Source organism: Homo sapiens, chromosome 20, assembly GCF_000001405.40.
Source record: "Homo sapiens chromosome 20, GRCh38.p14 Primary Assembly".
NCBI classification, from domain to species: domain Eukaryota; kingdom Metazoa; phylum Chordata; class Mammalia; order Primates; family Hominidae; genus Homo; species Homo sapiens.
The window spans coordinates 47,247,402-47,272,865 of record NC_000020.11 but is presented as its reverse complement, the minus strand read 5'-3'; the positions used below and the strand labels follow the sequence as shown (position 1 = coordinate 47,272,865).

Sequence of the window (25,464 nt, the reverse complement as noted above, 5' to 3'; positions counted from 1 at the left end):
AATAATTGCCATGTCATAGAATAGAAAATAATATAGTAGCCTCACCAGTGAAAGTTTTGTAACCAGTAACATAAAACTACAGATTGAAATGTTATTGCATAAAACTTGTACAACAGTGTAGAAATCTTGTTTTTGTTTAGAAGATTGGAGAACTCAGAGCTGTGTGCCTATAATCCTTAGAACTGGATATTTAGCTTTCTAAGAAGCACTTTGCTCAGCCAGAAGTCTTTAACTCACAGTGTCCTATAATCTTGCTAGCTAGGTGGCCTAAGTGGTTAATATTCTGAGTGATTTTTGTAGTTTCCCCTTTATATAGACCTCCTGGCCAGAATGGTTACCTTCACCGGTATTTGTTTGCGCGATCTCGATGTAAGTTATTAATATGTATTAGGGTCAGAGTCGGGGGGCCTGACATTCACCACCCTCTGGGCTAATGGTCCTTTGGTCTGGTAGCTACACTGTGAGTTACCATTTAAGAAAGGAAAGAGGGTCCGGGTGCGGTGGTTCACGTCTGTAATCCCAGCACTTTGGGAGGTCGAGACAAGCGGATCACGAGGTCAGGAGATTGAGACCATCCTGGCTAACACGGTGAAACCCCGTCTCTACTAAAAATACAAAAAATTAGCTGGGCGTGGTGGCATGTGCCTGTAATCCCAGCTACTTGGGAGGCTGAGGCAAGAGAATTGCTTGAATCCGGGAGGCAGAGCTTGCAGTGAGCCGAGATCGCACCACTGCACTCCAGCCTGGGCAACAGAGTGAGACTCTGTCTCAAAGAAAAAAAAAGAGGTTTCATATTACTCCCCCCCCCCTTTTTTTATAATTGTGAAATCAATATGTTTTTGTCATAAATTAGTTCTTTATTACAGAATTTAAAGTCACTGATGGCTGGGTGCAGTGGCTCATGCCTGTAATTCCAGCACTTTGGGAGGCCGAGGTGGGCGGATCACTTGAGGTCAGGAGTTTGAGACCAGCCTGGCCAACATGGCGAAACCCCGTCTCTACTAAAAATACAAAAACTTAGCCAGGCGTGGTGGCACACGCCTGCAGTCCCAACTACACAGGAGGCTGAGGCAGGAGAATCACTTGAACCCGGGAGGTGGAGGTTGCAGTGAGCTTGAGATCACGCCACTGTACTCCAGCCTGGGAGACAGAGCGAGACTCCATCTCAATCGATCAGTCAATGAAATAAAGTCACTGAGAATCTCACCTCTCACAGCCAGTCCTTAGATTGTGTTTCCAGCGCTTTTTATATGTGGTTATAAGTCCTACTGTTAAGCTGAAAGCTCAAATACAGGGATCAGGCAGATATGGCAGTGAGTGAGGTTGGGGAGTGGTAGGTAGAGACTGGGATGAATGAAAGCAGACATACGTTTCTTTCCATACCTGTTACACATCGTGTGCTTTTGTGTGCATATGGGTGTATAACACTTAACCCAAGGGGTGCGGACTTTTCTGATACATAGTGCATGCTAGAGGTACTACAGCAGCTTGGGGCTACTTTAGTGCTACAATGATAAGCAGCTCTTTCATAAGGAAATACAATAGGGCAAATGCTAGCATGCACCATGTGTCAGAAGAGTCAGTAGCTCTTGGGTAAGTTTTACACACCCATGTTACCCATAAGTGTTACACACGGCTAATAGGTCATGAGCTCCCAAGACGCTGAGCTAGAGAGTTGTGCCTTTCTGAAAGAGACCAGGGACCTTTTCCTCCTGCTGGTTCTTGCCACATAGGAGTATGGGCTCTGTATTGAGAGATTTCTGGTTTTTCTTTCTTTTTTTTTTCTTTTTAGACGGAGTCTCACTCTGTCGTCCAGGCTGGAGTACAGTGGTGCGATCTCGGCTCACTGCAAGCTCCGCCTCCTGGGTTCACGCCATTCTCCTGCCTCAGCCTCCCGAGTAGCTGGGACTACAGGTGCCTGCCGCCACGCCCGGCTAATTTTTTGTATTTTTAGTAGAGACAGGGTTTTACCATGTTAGCCAGGATGGTCTCGATCTCCTGACCTCGTGATCTGCCCGCCTCTGCCTCCCAAAGTGCTGGGATTACAGGCGTGAGACACTGCACCCGGCCGATTTCTGTTTTTTCAAGAGAACCCTCAAATTAAAAAAAATGGGAACTACTCCAGCTTTTTCTTTTTCTTTCTTTCTTTTTTTTTTTTTTTTTTTTTTCAGAGACAGGGTCCTCACTATGTTGCCCAGGCTGGTCTCAGACTCTTGGGCTTAAGCGATCCTCCCGCCTTAGCCTCCTGAGTAGCTGGGGCTACAGGCACATACCACCACACCCAGCTATCAACTTTTATGTACTGGCTCACATTTTTAACTAAATAAAAGCTACATCACATTAAATGCACCTGTGGACTCCTTGGTTCATGGATCACCTGTTTGCAATGTCTGGTGTAGACTGTAGAATTTATTTTTTTAAAGCTTAACCTTGTATTCTTTTTTAATTTTTTATTTTTATACATTAAAAAAACTTTTTTTTTTTTTTTTTTTGAGATGGAGTTTCACTCTTGTCTTCCAGGCTGGGGTGCAATGGTGCGATCTTGGCTCACTGTAAACTCTACCACCTGGGTTCAAGCGATTCTCCTGCCTCAGCCTCCCGAGTAGCTGGGATTTTTTTTTTTTTTAAGAGACAGGGTCACACTCTATCACTCAGGCTGGAGTTCAGTGGTGTGATCATGGCTCACCGTAGCCTTCAACTCTTGGGCTCAAGCAGTCCCCGCTGCCTCAGCCTCCTGAGTAGCTAGGAGTACAAGTGTGCGCCACCACACCTAGCTATACACCTAGTATAGATGATGTCTTGCTGTGTTACCCAGGCTAGTCTCAAACTCTTGGGCTCAAACGATCTGCCTGCCTCAGCCTCCCAAAATGCTGGGATAATAGGCATGAGGCACCATGCCTGGTCCATAGCCTTGTATTCTGAATATGTTTCTGTGTTAGTGAATAACCCTTCAAAACAGCATTTTTACCAACACATCCTGACCCATCCTAGACCATCTGGCCATGCTCTGCTCATCTGTGCATGGCACCATAGGAGTTGTGCAAGGTGCGGCACTTTGAACATACAGGTTGTTTCTGAGGTTTTATAACTGGAGGACATTTAGCGTGAATCATTCACTCTGCCTTTCCACCCCACCCAGAGTGCTGGGGTGCATGGGAGGGAAAGGGCATTTTTTTCCTAATTTAATTCCAAGGCTCATGTTTCCTACTGTAGTCAGAACAACCCTTCACGCAGGCCAGGATTTTGTAAATGTAGATAATAAATGATGTGTTTCAGCCCACACTTGTGAATTGTACATCAAAATATGAAATCTGGTAAAATTATTTGTGACTTCAGAGGCAATTAGTTCTTCCTTTGGGCAAAATGTATGGCTTTATAAAAGGATTGGCATCTGTTTCAGAGTTTTAATTGAAACAAGCATTTCCAAGTCTTTTTGCTTTTGAAATGTCTGGAGTGATTCGAAGCAGGTTTTTCTCAACCTCAGGACCACTGACATTTAAGGCCAGATAATTCTGTATTGTGAGGCTGTTCTGTGCACCTAGGATGCTGAGCACCATCTCTGGCCTCCATGCCAGTACCACCCACACCCTCATGTATATTGACTTGGATTTTTTTGTGATCTGCTTAGTCATATCTGTTTCTTTATTTTTATTTATTTATTTTTTTTGAGATGGAGTCCCACTCTGTTGCCCAGGCTGGAGTGCAGTGGCATGATCTCGGCTCACTGCAACCTCCGCCTCCCAGGTTTAAGCAGTTCTCTTGCCTCAGCCCCCCAAGTAGCTGGGATTACAGGCATGTGCCAACACACCTGGCTGGTTTTTTATTTTTAGTAGAGAGCGGTTTTGCCATGTTGGCCAGGCCGGTCTCGAACTCCTGACCTCAGATGATCTGCCTGCCTTGGCCTCCCGAAGTGCTGGGATTACAGGTGTGAGCCACTGCGTCCGGCCTTGTCATATCTCTTCTTTGGATTGTTAATCACTCTTTTAGCAAGCACCTTGTGTTTAGTAGGTGTATAACATTGGGGAGATTGTTTGATATTTTTGTATGAAAAAGGTTTTATCTGGTTGTCATTGTTTCTTTTTCTTTTTTTTTGAGATGGAGTCTCTGTCACCCAGGCTGGAGTGTAGTGGTGTAATCTCGGCTCACTCGCCACCTCCGCATCCCAGGTTCAGGCGATTCTCCTGCCTCAGCCTCTTGAACAGCTGGGGTTACAGGCGTGTACCACCACGCCTGACTGCTTGTTGTATTTTTAGTAGAGACGGGGTTTCACCAGGGCCGGGCACAGTGGCTCACACCTGTAATCCCAGCACTTTGGGAGGCCGAGGCGGGCGGATCACGAGGTCAGGAGATCGAGACCATCCTGGCTAACATGGTGAAACACCGTCTCTATTAAAAATACAAAAAATTAGCCCGGCATGGTGGCGGGCGCCTGTAATCCCAGCTACTCGGGAGGCTGAGGCAGGAGAATGGCGTGAACCCGGGAGGCGGAGCCTGCAGTGAGCCGAGATTGTGCCACTGCACTCCAGCCTGGGTGACAGAGCGAGACTCCCTTCTGAAAAAAAAAAAAAAAAAAAAGAGACGGGGTTTCACCATGTTGGCCAGGCTGGTCTCAAACTCCTGACCTCAAGTGATGCATCTGCCTCCGCCTCCCGAAGTGTTGGACCAGTCGAGACTCACTGCGACCGGCCTCGTCATTGTTTGTTTATTGCTTATCATGACTACAGCAGTGAGAAGAGAAATGGAAACCTCCTTCTTCAATTATTTTATGCACTGCTCATTCAGTGAATGTATTATGCACCTGATAAGCATCCAGAGGTATCCTGGATGCCTGCTGGCCAGCGCAGATCCTGCTCTTTCAGGGCCAATATTTTCATGTCAAAAGGAAAGACAGTAGGCCAGAGGCACTGGGCCACTTTAGGTGGCCAACAAGGGAGGCCTTCGAGGAGGTGATGTTTGAGCTGGGACCTGACCATGGAGGAATTCGAGCCAGTGTGATCTAGGGTGGGCGTGAAAGCCTTCCCTTGGGAACCTCAGGCACAAAGGCTTGAGGTGTGAACAGACTTGATCTTCCAGGGTGGCCCTCAGGTCACTGTGGCCGGACATTCCAGGAGGTAGAAAGGAAAGGTTGGGTTTGAGGTTGGAGAGGACGTTGGATTTTATTCTGGGGAATGAGGTGCCTCTGGATGTTTTTAGGTGATGGAGCAATATGCCCTCATTTCAGGGGTTCTGCCCTGGCTGCTGTGTGGAGAGTGCCCTGGAAGAAGGGTGCTGTGCACATGGTGGGGAGACCTGTGGGAAGTGCTTACGGGGTCTCCATGGGAAATGATAGGCAGGGCAGTGTTGCCCAGTCTTTTAATTGCCCCCCCCCCGCCCCGGCCCTGAACCATTTTAGACATTTTCTTCCTATTTACTCCCCCTGAGATCTTTTAAAAAAATGAGGTCAAATTCACATAACATAAAATTTACCATTTTGAACAGATCAGTGGCATTTAGTGCATTCACAGTGCTGTGCAGCCACCACCTCTGTCTAGTTCTAAAACATTTCCATCGCTCCAAAATAAAACCCTGTACCCACCAAACAGCCACTCCCCATCCCCCACAAACTTCCACCCCTACCTCTCACCCCACAGCCTGCCCCTAACAACCACCAATTTGTGTTCTGTTTGAACTGACTTTCCTATTCTGGGTATTTTGTTTCAGTGAAATGAAAGAATATGGGGCCTTTTGTGTCTGGCTTCTTTAACTTAGCATCATGTTTTCAAGTCAGCCACACTGCAGCACGTATCAGAACTTCATTCCTTTTATGGCTCGGTAACGTTCTATTGTGGGGATACTTCAGTTTGTCCATTGATGGACAGTCAGTTGTTTCTACCTCTTGCCTATTGTGAACAGTGCTGCTTGTGCACATTCGTATCCAAGGATTTGTTTGTGTACCTATTTTCAATTTTGGATAGGTACTTACCTAAGAGTGAACTTTCATGAAATTTGAAAATATTGTAGATCTGTTTATGTACTGTCTATACACACCACACACCACACACACACACACAGAGTGCTTTGTACATAAAAGGAATAGTAAGATAAGATTTTTTCACCCCCTAAAAATTATTTTTGCCCCGTTGGGGGCCATATGGTCCCTGTTGAGATGCATGGACTAGGGTGATAGTAGGGGAGGTGGAGATGAGTGCAGAGATTTGGGATATGTTTAGGAAGAGGAGTGCAGAGTTCTTCCTGAAGATTTGGGTAAATTCAGGCATGAGAGCAAAGGAGGAATTAAGAATGGGCTGAGTGTAGTGGCTCAAACATCTGTAATCCCAGCACTTTGGGAGGCCTAGGTGGGTAGATCACCTGAGGTCTGCAGTTCCAGATTAGCCTGGCCAACATGGTGAAACCCCCATCTCTACTAAAAATACAAAAATTAGCCGGGCGTGGTGGTGGGCGCCTGTAATCCCAGCTGCTTGTGAGGCTGAGGCAGGAGAATCCGCTTGAACCCGGGAGGTGGAGGTTGCTGTGAGCTGAGATTGCACCATTGCACTGCAGCCTGGGCAACAAGAGTGAAACTCCATCTCTCTCCCCGCCCCCCTCCCCCCCAAAAACAAAAAGAATGATCCAGGTGTGTTTGGCCTTGAGCCACCAGGTGGGTGGCCGTGGCATTCATGATATTGGGAGGACAAGGCAGGTGCAGGGTGTTTCACACACTGGGGAGGTAGGATTGGTGGCACTAGGAGGTGGACATAGGAGACCTGTTTCTCAGGGAGATGCAGAGGAGGGTTTTGCAGCGTGAGGCTTGTGGGTTGCTAGTGACTCTCATGTATGTCCTTTTCCTGACTCCATGAAGCTTTGCAGTCCCAGATGCCTTAGGAGGATGGGCCCTGCCCTTCACTGGCTGGGTAGAGTGTGAACCAGACCCATCTCCATGGGAAACCAATGTTTTCCTGACACCCTTATTCTTGCCATATCCAAGTGCTATGCTTAAAACCATTTTTTAATATTTAGAACATACCTCTTAAATCTCAACACTTGTTTATTTATTAACAAAGGAAATAGATCTATCAAATTAAAGGCCTGTTCTAGTTATTAATTTTTTAGCACACATGAATGTATATACAGAATTATAAAAATAGGCTGGGCGTGATGGCTCACACCTGTAATCCCAGCACTTTGGGAGGCCGAGGTGGGTGGGTCACCTGAGGTCAGGAGTTCGAGATCAGCCTGGCCAACATGGCAAAACCCCGTCTCTACTAAAAATACAAAAAGATTAGTTGGGCATGGTGGCACATACCTGTAGCCCCAGCTACTCCGGAGACTGAGGCAGGAGAATTGCTTGAACCTGGCAGGCAGAGGTTGCAGTGAGCTGAGATCACCCCACTGCATTCCAGCTTGGGCAACAGAGCAAGACTTTGTCTCAAAACAAACAAACAAACAAACAAACAAACTTGACCTGTCGAGCAGGAAAATGGATTCACTTGGCTGTGTTCTACGTGCAACAGCATCTTTGCGTGTTTTTGTTTGTTTGTTCCTGCTACCCTTTAGGGTTGGACGTCCTTGTCAATGTTCTCTGCAGTCCCAAGCAGGGTATTTGATAGTATAGTAAGGCCCTCCCTGTTAGACCTTGCCAGTTTGCTTATGGGAATACAATTAGAGAAGCCCCGGTCTTTAATCCTCAAGGGGAATCTATTACACAGATATTTGAGCAGCTGCAAATTGCTTTTGGAATGAGGTAGAACATAAATGAATTAATAAGGTTAAAAATTCTAATGCTAAAGATTTTATTGGTAATACTTCCGTTAAAATGCCTATATATATATATATGTATATATATTTTTTTGGGGACAGGGTCTCTCTCTGTGTCCCAGGCTGGAGTGCAGTGGCATGATCACGGTTCACTGCAGTCTTGACCTCCCAGGCTCAATGGATCCTCCCATCTCAGCCTCCCAAGTAGCTGAGACTACAGGCGTGTGCCACCATGCCCGGCTAAATTTTTTGTATTTTTAGTAGAGATGAGGCTTCGCCATGTTACCCAGGCTGGTCTCGAACTTCCGAGCTCAAGTGATCCTCCCACCTCAGCCTCCCAAGGTGCTGGGATTACAGGGGTGAACCACCGCACCTGGCATATTCTTGTTTCTTCGTGTAACAAACACTTCAGTTCTATGTCTTACAGTACCAGTGATAGGACTAGTAATAATATAGCAGCCCCCCCCAGTGAAGGAATGTGGCATGCCACGTGCTAGGCCAATTCTATTAATTCTTGCAGTAAAACAGATTTATTGTGTTAAAAACTTAATTATAGGCTGGGCACAGTGACTCATGGCTGTAATCCCAGCACTTCGGGAGGCTGAGGCGGGTGGATCCCTTGAGGCCAGGAGTTCCAGACCAGCCTGGCCAACATGGTAAAACCCTGTCTCTAGTAAAAATATAAAAAATAGCCGGGTGTGATAGCAGGAGCCTGAAGTTCTAGCTATTTGGGAGGCTGAGGCAGGAGAATCGCTTGAATCCAGGAGGCAGAGGTTGCAGTGAGCCGAGATTGCACAACTGCACTCCAGCCTGGGTGACAGAGCGAGACTCCATCTCAAAAAAACAAAAGCAAAGAAAACTTATTTCTTAAAACAATTTCTAATATTTATTGAGCACTTGCTCGGCGCCAATTGACATAGATCGACGACATTGATCCTCACTCCCTTATCATTCCCGGATGAGGAAAAGGATTCCCAGCTGCATGCCTACTCCATCCCTATGCGGCGTGTCAGTTTCAGCACTTTTGACGTTTGGGGCCAGATAACTCTTTCTTGTGGGGGGCCGCTCTGTGCATGGCAGCAGATTTAGCAGCGTTTTGGTCTCTAGCTCCTAGATGCCAGTAGCAACCCCCCACTCTCCTAAAATGTCTGGATGCAATGCCCAGTGTGCCCTGGAGAGAAGAATTGCTCATAGCTGAGAATCAGTGGTTCAGAGGATAACCCCAAAGCCCTAGAGGTTAATGGGGAAATAGAAAATAAAACCACTCTAATAGCAAACAGTAACAGAGTACTTACTGCATGCCAGGCACTGTTCAGATGATTGATTTAATCCTCACGGCAGCCTGATGAGATGTAGCTACTGTTATTGTCCCTTTGTATCATATTATTAGTGTCTCTCTTTGCTGCTGCCAGGAAGAGGGAGGCAGAGGTGCCAGTAACTGGCCCAGGGTTACACAGCAGGGCAACAGCTGAGCCGGGGCTTGAATCCACAGTGTCTGGCTTCTAATCTGTGCTTGAATCCAGGCCTCTTTACTTCTGGAGTCTTTCCCACTATATTACATTAACAGTAATGCAGGCAGGTCCTGGCACCAGAGCTGCCTAGCTTACTTGGATTCACCAGCCGAGTGGTATGTGAGTTTCAACACACTGAAGCCTTGTTCTGAGTTTTCTAATTTGTCAGGTGAGGAAACTGAGGCAAGTGCTGCCCACACAAGTGTCCCAGCACTTTCGAAGCCCCTGGGGAGTCTCAGTTCCTAACTCCAATTTGCCATCCACAAATTTCTTTCCAGCACCAGATCAACTCAGAATGTTTCTTGCTCATCTTGGAAGAGTTGGCTGTCATTGTTGTTAGTGATGCCTTTAGTCCCAGCTGTTTTTAAATGGGCCCAAGAGGCATTAACAGGACAGTCCCAGTACCATGGAGGGGCAAGGACAAAGGGGCAGGATTTGAAGGATCTTTAGGACGCTTGTTGGCCCCTATGAATGCTTGCTTTTTTAAACGTAAGTGGTTTATTGTCCTAACCCTGTGAAATGAGGCAGGGGAGAAGCAGGTCGTAGGTCATTTTAAGGTATTTTTAAAAGCCTTAGGCATAGGTACAGTTCTCTCTCCTCCTGTGAAAGTTTGAAATACAGTAAAGAAGGACATAATTTACCAACGTCTCCCTCACTCCATCTGGTACTGGGTTTGGCTTTACATAGCCTCAAGAACCTTTGAAATGGGAGCTGGAGATTTCCCAAGGGGCCAAGTTGGTCCCTGGCAGGTGCAGTGGCTGCGTGTGAGCTGGCCGTGGTGTCTTTCCACAAACAGATGATACGCATTTGTAAGCCTGGCTCCCGTTCTCCACATCTGGACCATGTGGGGGTTGGTTTAATCGCTATTTATGTTGAGATTTATATCCGTGAATGGGCCAAACCAATTTCAGTGGCAGCTTAGCCGATTTGTCTTAGAGCTTTGTGCTTAATAGAGTAACTGGGGAGACCTTCTTCATTTGTGGCTTTAACGGTTTCACATCCGGTTAAAGCCCTTTGCTGAAAATAAATGGCCAACCTGCTATGCTCCACCCCACCCCATTCGTGATACTGTAGCGGCCTTGCTGAAATCAAACACAATTTCATAATCTCTCCATTCTCTCCCTACACCACACCTACACGTTCTACTTGTTTATTTGTAAACCTGTCTTTTAACAATGCCATACTTTTTCAGCTTCACCAGCCTCCACCAAGACGGGACAAGCAGGGAGTTTATCCGGCAGCCCAAAGCCCTTCTCTCCTCAACTGTCAGCTCCTATCACGACGAAAACGGACAAAACCTCCACCACCGGCAGCATCCTGAATCTTAACCTGGGTCAGTCAGAATTTTTGCCAGTATCTTTCTGTGGCAACTGTGGATATTTTTGCAAATGACGTATCCTCTTGTGTATGTGGTTCTTGAACCTTCAACTCTTTTCTCTATGCAAAAAATGCAAAAGTTTCAGAGGATGAAGGTGAGAAAAGATCTGTGAAAAGAATAAGTAAGGGATTTCTTGGGGCTTATTGACATACAAATTACTTTTTTTTTTTTGAGATGGAGTTTCGCTCTTGTTGCCCAGGCTGGAGTGCAAGGGTGCGGTCTCGGCTCCCTGCAACCTCCGCCTCCTGGGTTGAAGTGATTCTCCTGCCTCAGCCTCCCGAGTAGCTAAGATTACAGGAGTATGCCACCACACCTGGCTAAGTTTTCTATTTTTAGTAGAGACAGAGTTTCACCATGTTGGCCAGGCTGGTCTCAAACCCCGACCTCAGGTGATCCACCCACCTCTGCCTCCAAAAGTAATGGGATGACGGGCATAAACCACCATGCCTGGCCCAAAGTGCTTTTATCCAGGCCAGTGTTTCCACCTCAGTTGTCCTTGACCACATTAACCCAGTTCTATTTGCAAATTATACCCATGGCACAGAAGCAAGTAGGAGGAATCAGTACTTACCTTTCCTATGTGCAGCATACTCTGATATTCCTTAATTCTCTTCTTCTAATTCTTACACTCTGGTCTTTATTCCCTGGATGATGATGATGATGATGATGATGATGATGATGATGATGATGATAACTGTTTTTTTAGAGATGGGGTCTCACTCTGTCACCCAGGCTGGAGTGCAGTGGTGTAATCATAGTTCACTGCAACCTTGAACTCCTGGGCTCAAGCTATTTCCTGCCTCACCCTCCCTGAGTAGCTAGGACTACAGGCCTAGCTAGTTTTTAGCTACATACTCAGCTAATTTTTTGTAGTGATTGGGTCTTGCTGTGTTGCCCAGGCTGGTCTTGAACTCTTGGCCTCAAGCAGTCCTCCCACTTTAGCCTCCCAAAGTGCTGAGATTACAGGCATAAGTCACTGCACCTGGCCCATTATTGATTCCTTATTATTATTATTTTTTTTGAGATGGAGTTTCGCTCTTGTTGCCCAGGCTGCAATGCAATGGCGTGATCTTGGCTCACTGCAAACTTCTGCTTCCCAGGTTCAAGTGATTCTCCTGCCTGAGCCTCCGAGTAGCTGGGATTACAGGCATGCACCACCACGCCTGGCTAATTTTGTATTTTTAGTAGAGATGAGGTTTCTCCATGTTGGTCAGGCTGGTCTCGAACTCCCAACCTAAGGTGATCTGCCTGCCTCAGCCTCCCAAAATGCTGGGATTACAGGCATGAGCCACTGTGCCCGGCTGCTGTTGATTCATTATTGATTGATTCATTGCATCCTCACCATTGATTTTTCTTGAACATCTATTATGTGCTGTGCACTATTCTAGGCATGGAAATAGAGTACAAAGCAAGTCAGCTAAGGACCTGCTCTTGTAGAGGCTGGGTTTTTAGAAAGATAGAGAAAATAATAAAGGCAAATAACAAGGCAGTTCACACCATGAGAGGCAGTTCACACCAAGATAGTTCACACCATGATGGATGTCTGGAAGGTAATGTGATGAGGCAAGAGATGGGCAAGTTGCGAAGCAGATGTCACAGTTCACTTAGGTGGAGGGGTTAAACGGGGCCTCTTTGAGAGGCGATATTTGAGCTGAAGTTTACGTGACAAGAAAAATCAGCCATGCCAGTGTCAGGAGGAAAAAGATTCTAGAAGGAATAAGAGATTTTAAAGGCTCTAGGGTTAGGATTAAGTTGGTGTGCTATAGGAGTAACTGGGTGTGTTGTAGGATTAGCAAGGAGGCCAGGGTGGCTGCATCCCAGTGAGTGAGGGTGAGGCCAGTCCGTGGAGTCGGAGACAGTACGGGGGCCTCGTAGACCCTGGTGTGGATGGAGGGTTCAGCGCAGGAGGGATGTGAATGGACTTCACATCTCAGAAGAAGCCCTCGGTGCTGTGTTTCAAATAGTCCATATCAGTCAACCATTCTCATCTGGGGGCAATTTTGTAACACTTCCCCACCCACTGGCAATGTTTGGAGACATTTTTGGTTGTCACACCTGGGGTTGGGGTGCTCCTGGCACCTAATGGAGGGAGGCCAGGGAGATACCACCCAACATCCTACAAAATGTAGAACAGGGCCCCCAACAGAGAATTTCTAGATTGTGTCAGTAATTGTGCTGACAGATCTGGGTATGGCAGGAGAAGCCAAGGGTCTAGTTTAGATTATGTAAATTTGAGCAGCTGTTACACCCCTAGGTGGAGAGGTCAATAGGGCAGCTGGAGGCAGGAATTAGGGTTCCCTGTGGCCAGGTTCAGGCAGGAGGTGTAATTCTGGGAATCTTGACGTGTACGTGGGATTGGGTTAGAGTGGTAGTTCTTGAAATGACTTTGAGGGGGTGATGGGGACACTGCTGGCATCTAATGATTGGTGGCCAGAGTTGCGCTAAACATCCCCCAGTGCATAGGACAGCCTCACTCAACAAAGACTCCAGCCCCATTGGCTTACTGAGGTTGCGAGTCAGGGGTAGAGCATTGAGCAGGAGTGAGGCCCCTGGGACATTGAGGATGTGGAGTTCTGGTTGAGGAGGAGAAGCAAGGGGTGGAGTAGCCACACCAGGGGAGTGTGTTGCCCTGGAGCCTCCAGTATGGGGGTTTCAGAAAGAGAGGGCGGCCACCTGTGCCCAGTGACGCTTAAGTGTGAATTCCACGCCTTTGGTGGTTGGCGCCCTCCAGGTCCATCTTGTCCTACAGTGCCATTTTCAGATGGAGAAACTGAGGGAGGTCTGGAGAGGAGGCATGGGGTGCCCAGGATCCCAGAGGCAGCAGGGCTGGAGCACAGCCTGGCTCCAATCCTGGCTCACCTGTGAGTACAGCCCTGATGTAATAGGATGGTCAGGGCAGTTGCTTTCGGGGCTCCCATTCAGACCAACCAGTTGGTTCCTCACTTGAGTGAAAAGGGACACACGTGCTTCCTTGGGAACATTCATTGTTCCCAAATCTGTGGTTTGCTTTCTCACACCCTCCTTCCACCTCCACACCCTGAAAAGAAATGCTGTTTGGAGGCGTTCTCACGGTGACATTTCCTCTCTGCCAGTCATGCTTGTCAAGAATAGCTCTTTGCTGAAACTGGGTGGTCATTGGGCTTCCTCGTGACACTGTGGGTCTTTCAGTTTGGCTTGATCTGTTGTGGGAGTGAAAGGTTTCTTCCTGTTGTGTGTCTTGGTGGGTGGGCATGGTGGTGGGTGAGCACCAGGGGAACCGAGGCCCTCTTGTGTCTCCCCTGGCAGCTCTTCCGGTTCAGGACACATTTCTTATCTTCGTCAGCAGGAACAAGAGCATTGGGAATGTGGGCGTTTTGTGGGCTGGGATTGCAATGACCTAACGGGAAGAGGATCAGCTAGGGACCGATGGAAGTGCCGTGGGTGGGGAGGAGATCAGAACAAGCAGGGCAATGTTAAGGAATTCTCCAGTGACTGCCCAGGGACTGAACAAATGCTTTATAGGGCTTGATTCTGTCTGTCAGCCGTGGAACGACTTTCCCCAGACAGGGACAATGAAAGGGAGCACCCTGGATAATGATGAAGTTATTGTAGCTAACAAAACAGGATTTCCTTAAAAAATATATCAGAAAAGGCAGAATTACAGAGATGGGGAACAGATGAGTGATAGCTGGGGGTTGGAGTGCAGGAGGGTTTGCCTACACATTGGGAGGGAACTCTTCGGGAGATGGACCTGCTCTGTGTTTTGGTTGTGGTGGTGGTTACAGGAATCTATGCAGGTGTTACGACTCATAGGACTGTATTCTCCCAAAAGTGAATTTTGCTGTCTGTAAATTAAAACTTTTTAAAAATTACAACAACCTTTAAAGTAGGTAATATCTATGTTTCACAGAAGTGTAAACTGGGGCACAGAGAAGCAAGTTACCTACCCAAGGATCAACCATGGTTTGTGGTAGAGTTTGGCCTTCAGGCCCAGGCCTGTCTGCTGCAAAGCTTGAGCTCTTAGCTGAGATACCTGAATGTCTCCTGTGCCTATTGGATACGTCAGCTTTTTTGGGGGTCAGGGGGTAAGGTGAAGTTTTGAAATTTGTAAAGGATGTGGCTCTTGCCAGCTTAACCCACATTGTCGGACTGAATTGTCAGGAAAAACAGAACTCTAGATTATTACAGGAACTCTCCTAGTTTTTAAAAGCTGACAATCAATTTCATTAAAAACAAAAACTGGCTAGGCTTGGTGGCTTATGTCTGTAATTCCCGCACGTTGGGAGGCTGAGGCAGGAGGATTGCTTGAGCCCAGGAGTTCAAGGTTGCAGTGAGCTATGATTGCATCACTGCACTCCAGCCTGGGTGAGAGAGTGAGACCCTGTGGTACAAAAACAAAAACAAAACCCCAAAACTCTATTTGGGCCAGACAAACACATACAACCAACAATACAAAAATAGTCCATAGGTTGTCAGTTTTTATTTATACTATACTGTAATTATATTATACTGTTACACTATAATTAAGAATATATGGTATATAAGTATATGGCATTTTAGTATATGTATGTGTGTATATGGTATATGTATGTATATTGGGTATATGGTATGAGTATATGTATGTGTGTATATGGTATGACAGTATATGGTATATGGGTATATTTGAGTATATGTATGTGTGTATGGTATATGATGAGTATATGGTATATGGGTATGTTTGTATATTGGGTATATGTGAGTATATGTATGTGTGTGTATGGTATATAAGTATGTATGTGTGTGTTGTATTTGCGTGTGTGTATATGGTGAGCATATAGTATATGGGTATATATTTGTGTGTGTATGGCATATGAGTATATGGTAAATGTGTATATGGTATGTGAGTATATGGTATTTGTGTGTATGTATGTGTGTATATGGTGAGTGTATGTGTATTTGTGTATATGGCATATGAGTATATGTATATGTGGTATATGAGTATATGGTATTTGTGTGTGTGTATGGTATATGACTATATGGTATAAGATGGGAAGGTTTGTACAGAGACCTGGTTCTTGCCCAGGTTGCTAATTCACTGTTTCCCCTCATTTGCTGTCTGGGGCCTTTCCTCTCCTCACTAAAAAACAAGGAGCTGAGCCCAGTGGATTATTACGAGCCCCCTGTATGACTCAGCAGTGATTATAAATAAGTCATAAATAGGAATGAGTTTCTGAGACTAGAAGAGAAGAGGTGGGCCCGGTCCTTTTCTTCTTCCAGACTCCTGTTTGCTTTCTCTGATGATCCCATCTCCTCTTATTTCACAGAGGGTGTTTACTTTGAGCTGAAGAAACTCAGCAGTCAGTAGTCCTGTTAGTGACAGAAATGCGCCTTGATGCTCTGTTGAAAATGCAGGCAGGGCCAGGGAACGTCGTCACACCCCGAGACTTTCTGTTTATTTCTCCACTGTTAATGACAGGAGGCATCCTTTCTTTTTGTGCATAAAGCGGTATCTTGGAAGTCGGGCTTTCTTTGAGAGCATACATGGAGTGCCTGGGCCCAGATTTTTCAGATGTTGTCTTGATTTTCTTTAGAGTGAATGAGGTGGGGAAGATCTCTGTTTGGCTTTGACTGAAAGATAGTGTCTGCCAGGGTCTCTCTCTTTTTTGAGATGGAGTCTTGCTCTGTCGCCCACGCTGGAGTGCAGTGGCGCGATCTCGGCTCACTGTAAGCTCCGCCTCCTGGGTTCACACCATTCTCCTGCCTCAGCCTCCCAAGTAGCTGGGACTACAGGTGCCCGCCACCATGCCTGGCTAATTTTTTGTATTTTTTAGTAGAGACAGGGTTTCACTGTGTTAGCCAGGATGGTCTCAATCTCCTGACCTCGTGATCCACTCGCCTCGGCCTCCCAAAGTGCTGGGATTACAGGCGTGAGCCACTGTGCCCGGCCTCTCTTTTTTTAAAAAATAATATAGAGACAGGGTCTCGCTATGTTTCCCAGGCTGGTCTCAAACTTCTGGCCTCAAGCAGTCCTCCTGCCTCAGCCTCCCAAAGTGCTGGGATTACAGGCATGAGCCACCATGCCTGGCCAGCTAGGGTCTTTTGTCTAAGTGATATTGCTCCCTTGAAGGAACTGACATTTTGTAGTTCCTGGAAGTCCATCCATTGTAGTTTGCGTTCAGCTTTAGAACAAAAATCTGTCTTTTTTTTTTTTGAGACAGAGCTTTGCTCTTGTTGCCCAGGCTGGAGTGCAATGGTACAATCTCGGCTCTCTGCAACCTCCACCTCCTGGGTTCGGGTGATTCTCCTGCCTCAGCCTCCCAAGCAGCTGAGATAACAGGCATACGCCACCATGCCCGGCTAATTTTTTGTATTTAGTAGAGATAGGGTTTCACCATGTTGGCCAGGCTGGTCTCGAACTCCTGACCTCAGTATATGGTGTGTGTGTGTGTATATATATATACATACAAATATATATATATACGGTATATATATATACACATACAAATATATATATATACCGTATATATATATATATATATATATATATATATATATATATATACACACATACACGGTATATATATATATATATATACACACACACACATACACCATATACATATACTGAGTATATGTATATGGTATATATATACTGAGTATATGTATATGGTGTGTATATATATATATATACACACACACACACACACACACACACACACACACTGAGTATATGTATATGGTGTGTATATATATCCACCATATGCATATGTATATGTATATGGTGGATATATATATTTATATCTCCACCTCGGCTTCCCAAAGTGGTGGGATTACAGGTGTGAGCTACCACGCCCGGCCCTGTCTCTCTTTTTTTAAATGGAAAAAGAAGTTCTTAAATTTTTCTTTTATAGAGTTTGTTTTTATAAGTAATGAGTACATATGGTAACAAAAATTTCAAAGCACAGGACATTTCATGAAAGGCCAGCGTGTCTGTAACCTCCAACCACCTGTCTCTATACCCCTGTTCCTGCACGTCACCACTGTTGCAAGTTTTTAGTTTCTAGAGCCCTTCTAGATATATAGCATGAGTTCTGAATGGTTTTTGTCTCCCAGGTGACATTTGGCAGTGTCTGGAGATATTTTTATGTTTTATTTATTTTTTTGAGATGGAGCGTCGCTCTGTTTGCCCAGGCTGGTGTGCAGTGGCATGATCTGGCTCTCCGCAACCTTTGCCTGACTCCGCCTCCTGAGTAGCTGGGATTACAGGCGCGCGCCACTACGTCCGGCTAATTTTTGTATTTTTAGTAGAGATGGGGTTTTAGTAGAGACGGGGTTTCACCGTGTTGGCCAGGCTTGTCTCAAACTCCTGACCTCGAGTGATCTGCCCACCTCAGCCTCCCAAAATGCTGGGATTGCAGGCATGAGGCACTGCGCCTGGCCTGGAGATATTTTTATTGTCACAACTGGTGTGTAGGTGCTAATAGCATCTAGGGGGTAGAGGCCAGGGTGCTGCTGAACATCCTACAACACACGGGACAGCCCCTCCACCCCACCCCACCCCCACCACAAAGACTTATCCAGGACCCAAATATCAATAGTGCCACTGTTGAGAAACCCTGAGAATATATAGCCTTCCCAGCGATTTTCCATTTCCTTCTTGGCTCCCCTACAGCAGTGCTAAGGTGCTCCACCAGTCTTTGCTTTTTCATGAAACAGGTTGGCTTTTCATATCAACACACAGAAATCGGCCTTCATTTCATTTTAGCAGCTGTATTTAATTCCATTTAAAGGTAAACTGTAACATTTATTCAGGCGCCTTACTTACTGACGCTACGCTTCTTTCCATTTTTGCTATTGAAGACAACTGCAATGAAGAACCCTTTTGCCCACGTGGGAGGGTAATCCATAGGATAAATTCCTAGAAGTGGAATTGAGCATCAGAGGCCACATGCGGCGACATTTTGAGAGGTATCGCCCAACTGCCCTCTAAAGAGGTGGTTCTGATTTATGCTCCCTCCAGAAATGTAAGATCGTGCCTTTTTCTCTAGCGTGAGTATTTTTCATCCCTGGTTTCCATTTATAGCCTAAGCTGTCTTCATATCAGCTGAAAAGTTCAAAATGTTGGCAGCAAGGGTGGATTCTGAAGATATTCCCGATATAGAAGGGCAGGGGTGGAAGAAGTCCCGATAAGCTACATGAGCTAAATGAGAAAGTGAAGCTGTTTTCTCTCTGCGGAGGAGGGGGGAGTCAAATGCAGCTGCAGGTTTGGATAAAGATCATTACATTCGGCTAAACTCCTGAAGGTCAGCTTCCAGGGCCTGGGCCCAGCCCCTAGCCATTTGGTGGTTTATTCTAACAAGAATAAACATAACAGCAGCTTACTGACCAGAGAAACCTCAGTTTGTAAAATGAGGGAATTTACCTTCTTTGCATTTTTCTTGATTATGAACATTCCAGTGCTCAGTCTTTTTAGGCTAAAGTTAATGGGTCGCATTTACTGTAGCCATACGTGTAGACACGCAGGTGCACACACAGAGCTCAGTTATTCAGGTGAGGTCTAGGTCTCTTTTTATGGACCCTAAGGTTTAGAAAGGTTGTCCTGTTAACACACACACAGGAGTTAAGGCAAATAGTGAGTTTTCTTTACTCACATAGAAGATTGGTCTGATACAGGGGTTCTCAGCCTTAGCTGCCAATTAGGATCACCTGGCAAGTTTATTGTTGGTGTGGTTTTTTTTTTTTTTTTTTGAGATGGAGTCTCATTCTGTTGCCCAGGCTGGAGTGCAGTGGTGTGATCTCGGCTCACTGCAGGCTCCTCCTCCTGGGTTCAAGTGATTCTCTTGCCTCAGCTTCCGAAGCAGCTGGGATTACAGGCAGGTGCCATCATGCCTGGCTAATTTTTGTATATTTAGTAGAGATGGCATTTCACCATGTTGGTCAGGTTGGTCTTGAACTCCTGACCTCAGGTGCTCCACCTGCTTTGGCCTCCTAAAGTGCTGGGGTTACAGGCATGAGCCACTGCGCTCGACCTCCTGGCAAGTTTGTAAAAGGCTGATGCCCAGGCCTTCCCCTCAGCCAATTGAGTCAGAGTCTCTGAGGATGGGGCTCAGGCCTCAGGATTTTCTAAAACTTTACAGGCAATTTTGGTGTGCAGCCAGGGTTGGCAGTCACTGGACTAGTATAGAAGATGGCAGATTTTACGGCTTTCAGGCCAAATCTGGCCCCCACCTGTGTTTGCAAATAAAGTTTACTGGAACACATCCACACCCATCTGTTTATGTAGTGTTCATGGCTGCTTTTGCAACAGAGCCTGTATGGCCTGCAAAGCCTGAAATATTTACTCTCTGGGCTTTTATTTTATTTTTTGAGATAAGGTCTGGCTCTTTTGCCCAGTCTGGAGTGCAGTGGCCTGATCTCGGCTCACTGCAACCTCTGCCTCCTGGGCTCAAGCGATCCTCCCACCTTAGCCTCCTGAGTAGCTGGGATTACAGGCGTGTGCCACCATGCCTGGCTAATTTTCATATTTTTAGTAGAGACAGGGTTTCACCATGTTGCCCAGGCTGGTCTCAAATGTGAGCTCAAGGGAACTGCCCACCTCAGCCTCCCAATTGCAGGGATTACAAGTGTGAGCCACTGTTCCCGGTCCTCTCCAGGCTTTTACAAAGAAAGTTTGTTGGTCTCTTTTGTAAATTTTTTCGTTAACTGTGTATTCTAGTAGTATATAGGAATATTGAGGACACTGATGAATGTGTCACTTGGGTAGCCATGGAGAGTATTTTTGTGAGTATACGTTTCCATCTTTATTCTTGAAAAGGCTGGCTTTTCCCTCTGGAATCTAGCATGCTTCTTCATTTCTGAAAGTGGAAATTCCGAGGGAGGCCTCAAATCCCTCCCCCTTTGCTGTCACATTTGCATGCAACTCAGCTGTTAAGTCCTTGAGTCCTGCCTACTGGAACTCTTTAATCTGGGCTTTTTTTTTTTTTTTTTTTTTTTGAGACAGAGTCTTGCTCTGTCGCCCAGGCTGGAGTGTAGTGGTGCGATCTCGCTCACTGCAACCTTCGCCTCCTGGGTTCAAGTGTTCTCCTGCCTCAGCCTCCTGAGTACCGGGGATTACAGGCACCCACCACCATGCCTGGCTAATTTTTTTATTTTTAGTAGAGACGGGATTTCACCATGTTAGCCAGGCGGATCTTGAACCCCCGACCTCAAGTGATCCTCCCGCCTTGGCCTTCCACAGTGCTGGATTACAGGCGTGAACTGCTGCGCCCGGCATTTCTCTTTTCTTTCTTTCTTTTTTTTTTTAAATAAACTTTTAATTTAAAAGTAAACTTTAGTGTCAAAAATGCAAACTCGGGGAGGGCAGAAAGATCACACACAAGGCTGCCACTTTACACCTGGAGGCTTGCATGGCGGCCAGACAGAGGTGCTCCTCACTTCCCAGATGGTGCGGGGCGGGGCAGAGGCGCTCCTCACTTCCCAGACGGTGCGGCGGCCGGGCAGAGATGCACTCCTTGCTTCCCAGATGGTGGGGCGACTGGGCAGAGGCGCTCCTCCCTTTTCTTTTAGTGTTCCCCATTCCTTATTTTTAAAATTATTTTACCCTATAATTTCTCTTTGTTAAGCTACTTCAGATTTCTTGCCGGACAGAGACGGGTATAAAGAGTTTTCTAGTTCTTTGTCCAGTAAATTTTTTTTTTTTTTGGAGACAGGATCTTGCTCACCCAGGCTGGAGTGCAGTGACGCAATCATGGCTCACTGCAGCCTCAAACTCCTGGGCTCAAGCAGTCCTCCTACTTCGGCCTCCCAAGTAGCTAGGTTTACAGGCGTGCACCACCAAGCCCAGCTACTTTTTGTATTTTTTGTAGAGATGGGGGTCTTGCTATGTTGCCCAGCCTGGTCTCGAACTCCTGGCCTCAAGCAATCCTCCTGCCTCTGCCTCCGAAAGTGCTGGGAGAGGTGTGAATCACTGTGCCTGGCCCCACTGCAGTAAATTTGCACATTCTTCACCCTCTCAGAGGTGGCTGTGTGAATGTCTGCAGTCCTGTCTCTAGTAGCCTGTCTTTAAAGCCCTGATAAGTGTGCACACACACATGCATGCACACAGATACTGTTTTTGCTATTTTTCTTGAATTACAGGGATAGTGTCTCTGCTTGCTTTGAGCACTCACTTCTGGAATCTCCCTGGGTCTGGGAGGGGCAGTCTGTAAGTGTGATTTAGGAAAAGACCCATCTCTTCCCTCCTTTTTTTTCCTTCAAAAAAAAAAAGTCTTGCTCTGTCTCCCAGTCTAGAGTGCAGTGGCGTGATCATAGCTCAGTACAGCCACTAACTCCTGGCTCAAGCCATTCTCCTGCCTCAGCCTCCTGAGTAGCTGGGACTACAGGTGCATTCCACCACACCTGGCTGGGAAAAGACCTCTTTCTAATCTTATCCTGGGGGCTGATAAAATTAAGTTGGAGCAATTTATTGCTTCTGGTCACCTGTGAGTGGATTGGGTGGGGCTTTTGGGAGGCTGCTTCTAGTTACTTTGAAGGAGCTGATTTCTGGGTATGCAGTGTTTGAGAACTCTCCCTTACTGCATGAACAGGAAAGTGGTTGGGTCAGGCCAAAGGAAAAAGGTAGGAGAGAGTGATGGCTTTAAACAGTGCTTCCAGCCCAGCTCTCAGACTAGATTCTGGGGCCTCTTTCACAGCCCAATGAATGGAGGTGGCCTGAGGTATGGAGGGAGCAGGGAGATGAAGCACGAAGTCCAGGGAGCAACCTGATAGCTGTTGGGAACAGGCTCAGAGGTGGCTTCTCCTCTTTGTGGGTTGATTGGATTCCACCTGCTTTCTGACTTATTTTTTGGGATCGGCCGGAGTAGGACAGATGCCTCACACTCGCTTTGGGTGGGTTGGAGGGGATGCCAGAGGGTGGCAGGCACAGTGGAGGACAGTAGGCCCCACCTGCAGAGTTGCTTGTTGCTTTCTGGACCTTTGCAGCCACTGAAACTCTTAATATTTTGGGGGCACTGGAGTCGGTGGGAGAGGAATCCAAGAAATGTAAGCTCACTGACTTTGGAATCTGTCCTGCTGGTCCTACAAAGAGCCCTCGAAGAAGTGAGGGGACAGGACCTCCGGCCTGAGTCACCCCCCAGAGGCCTCTGCCTGGGAACTAGGCTGAGGACCTTGGACTCTTACTTGAGCGAGACCTGTTAGACAGAGGTTGAGTATCCAGGGCTAATCTGTTCCCCTTGCCTCACATAGATGCTGTGAGCCACAACACACTGGCTGGAAGGTCTGCCTATCTTATATTCCCTGCCCTTTCTAGTTTCCACCCCAGACTAGGTCCACTGAGAATGAAAAATGAAGCCTCTGTGGCAAATAGGCATTTAGGGCCCCCAATTATCAGGGTGTTTTCGAGGGGGTCGCCATCTTTCTTGGATACAAGTCCTCTTCAATCTGGACCTGAAGTTACAAGTACACCTTGACCAGGCTCAGTGTTGCTTTGTTCACTGAAATTGAGATTGAATATCTGCCCATAACCTTTGTCTTTGGAGGGTCCCTAATGATGTTGACTTCCACACACTGAGCCATCTGGCTGGGATTGTCCATTTTAAATATTGAAAGTCACCCAGACGATTGTTCAGTGGACTGTTTAAACCTGCCAAACGTGTTCACGTGGGCCATTATCTTCATGTCACCCCATTTGGTTGAGCAGATGATATTGTTGGGATGAATGACAAAAAAAGTATCTCCCCCTCCCCCATGTTCTAAAATGTGTGTTTTGCTCTGACTTTGCAAGGACGAAGCTCCGTGATGAGGATGGTGTGTGCCTGATCTTACGAGGGTGTGATGGTTTCTTTCAGATCGAAGCAAAGCTGAGATGGATTTGAAGGAGCTGAGCGAGTCGGTCCAGCAACAGTCCACCCCTGTTCCTCTCATCTCTCCCAAGCGCCAGATTCGTAGCAGGTTCCAGCTGAATCTTGACAAGACCATAGAGAGTTGCAAAGCACAATTAGGTATACCTTTGGTTTTGTTTTTTTTTTCCAGCAGTATCATTGTTATCATTACTGGTAGGGATACCACCTGGATGAAATCAAGGTTGAATCCTGGCTGCTTTTAGCAGCTGCTTTAACTTTCAACTATTTGCTCAGCTAAAATATATTTCCACTCATGGCAAAAGACTTCAGACTTGCTAGTTAATTCAGGGCTTTTTGAACTCATCAGTTTATTCTTTGGTGAAAGCAGTCTGGAAACTCGAGATACAGGTTTGAATCATCAAGGTTTGCAAGCAGAATGAGGATCCTCTGAGTTTTGCCTCTGCTCTCCTCAGTACGCATCAGTGTCTCCACACGAGTAGTGAGTGTGTTCTGTAGGTGTCCGACACGAAACCCTTTCCCTCCAGACTGGTCTCCTCCCCACCGGGCAAACCCTGCTTCTGTAGCTGTTGCCTTTCTTCCTCTTCCCTGTGCTGCCTGCCTTCACACTGCCTACCTGAATCCTGCCTTCTGTGAGGCTGAGCTCAGATCTCACCTCCTCCAGGAAGTCTCCCCTGACTGCCCTCCCCATCTGCCCTCCTCCTTTGGTACTTCATTGCTCGGAAGTAGCAATGGTCCCTTTGTGTGGGGGTGTCCCTCCCAATCTAGACTGGAAGCTCCTTGAGGGCAGGGAGGCCGTTTTATGAGGATTTGCCTTCTCTATGGTACTTGGTCTGTGCACATGGTAGATGCTCTGGAATGTTTGTTGAATAAGTAAGTAAAGCTAGGAGGGCATTTGTAAAGAAGTGGGGGATGGCTGGGCCTCTGGAGAGCAAGCTCCTCTGAGTGTCAGTGGGTGCTCTGCATCTTCAGGTGAGAAAGCAGCTAGAGTTAGGGACCCATCTGGGGCTATCCAGAGGACAACAGCTCCCGTTGGGTTGCCTGTTTGGTGAGGACATTGGGTGGCATGGGTGAAATTTGGCATGCCATTTAAATAATCCTCTTGGGTCCTTCCATGCAGCTGGCCCAACTCTTGATTTGTTTTTATTGCTAATAAGAATTTTATTATTTCCATTTACTGAGTGTTTCCTTGGACACTATGCTAAGCACTGCATATAGATTGTCTTGGGAGGTTGATACTTTTATCAGTCCCATTTTGCGGATAGAGAAACTGAGGCTCAGAGAGATAAATAACTTGTTCAGGGTCACACCAGTAATAAAAACAGAAAAGCAGGATTTGAATTCATGTCCTTTGGACTGCAGTACCCAAGCTTTTCCTATCACATATGTGCTTACACTTTTCCTTCTTGTTTCCAATCATTACCTACCAGTAGCACAAGCCTAGGATCCCAGAATTATACCAGATCTGGGTGTTTGTATTTTGGCTTGTGTTCTTCCTGTGTTGCCCTGGCTAGCCTTGAACTCCTGGGTTCAAGCAGTTCTTCTGCCTCAGCCTCCTGAGTAGCTGGGACCACAGGTGTGCACCACCATGCCTGGCTCGACTTGTGTTTTTGATTGAGCCCTGGTGGAGGCAGATACATTCCCCAATGATCCAGCTGATCCCCCATGCCCCGGGCTGTTCATGGCTCTGGTATTTTTGCAGGTTTCTTTTTGGTGTATACAAGTCGGACAGTGGCACCATTCACAGTGGCCATTGCTCTAGAATGAAGAGATTGCACAGACTTGATTGGGTTTTCTTTCCTCTTTCTAAAAGTTTAGGATATGGTATTATTATCTACAGTATGATGGCATAACATATGGTTGGGGGCAGGAGCCGTAAATGGGTTAAATGGAACTATTGTTAGAAATGTGCTTCTGCCCATTTTTGTTTGTGTGTATGAAACACCTGCTAGTTTGTGCTTCTTCCTTTTGAAAGAGACAGAAGTATGTGACTTCTCTCTTGACTCCTTTACCAGTGGAAGAGCAA

At 46.5% G+C, this 25,464-nt stretch overlaps 1 protein-coding gene across 19 annotated transcripts in view, besides 3 other annotated features; it reads left to right on the top strand.

The window, feature by feature from the left end:
- The window catches only part of ZMYND8 (zinc finger MYND-type containing 8), a 147,486-nt gene that overhangs the window by 83,834 nt on the left and 38,188 nt on the right, over window positions 1-25,464 (top strand). For 17 of the 19 annotated variants that reach the window (NM_001281771.3, NM_001281782.3, NM_183048.4 and 14 more), the window contains 2 exons: window positions 10,438-10,578; window positions 23,427-23,579. In NM_001281771.3, the coding sequence (NP_001268700.1) occupies window positions 10,438-10,578; window positions 23,427-23,579 (294 nt within the window). The remainder of the gene's footprint in view (window positions 1-10,437; window positions 10,579-23,426; window positions 23,580-25,464) is intronic. The other 2 variants (NM_001281781.3, NM_001281784.3) reach the window with 1 other exon arrangement.
- Window positions 13,142-13,281: an enhancer, noted in NCBI's record as "active region_17983". NCBI's record gives its function as "activates an Ori minimal core promoter by ATAC-STARR-seq in GM12878 lymphoblastoid cells {active_cell/tissue: GM12878}" and the evidence as "EXISTENCE:reporter gene assay evidence [ECO:0000049][PMID:35858748]".
- Window positions 13,662-13,771: an enhancer, noted in NCBI's record as "active region_17982". NCBI's record gives its function as "activates an Ori minimal core promoter by ATAC-STARR-seq in GM12878 lymphoblastoid cells {active_cell/tissue: GM12878}" and the evidence as "EXISTENCE:reporter gene assay evidence [ECO:0000049][PMID:35858748]".
- Window positions 19,169-19,669: an enhancer, noted in NCBI's record as "H3K27ac hESC enhancer chr20:45881941-45882441 (GRCh37/hg19 assembly coordinates)". NCBI's record gives its function as "activates a minimal SCP1, AML or CMV promoter by ChIP-STARR-seq in primed H9 embryonic stem cells {active_cell/tissue: H9 hESC(primed)}" and the evidence as "EXISTENCE:reporter gene assay evidence [ECO:0000049][PMID:30033119]".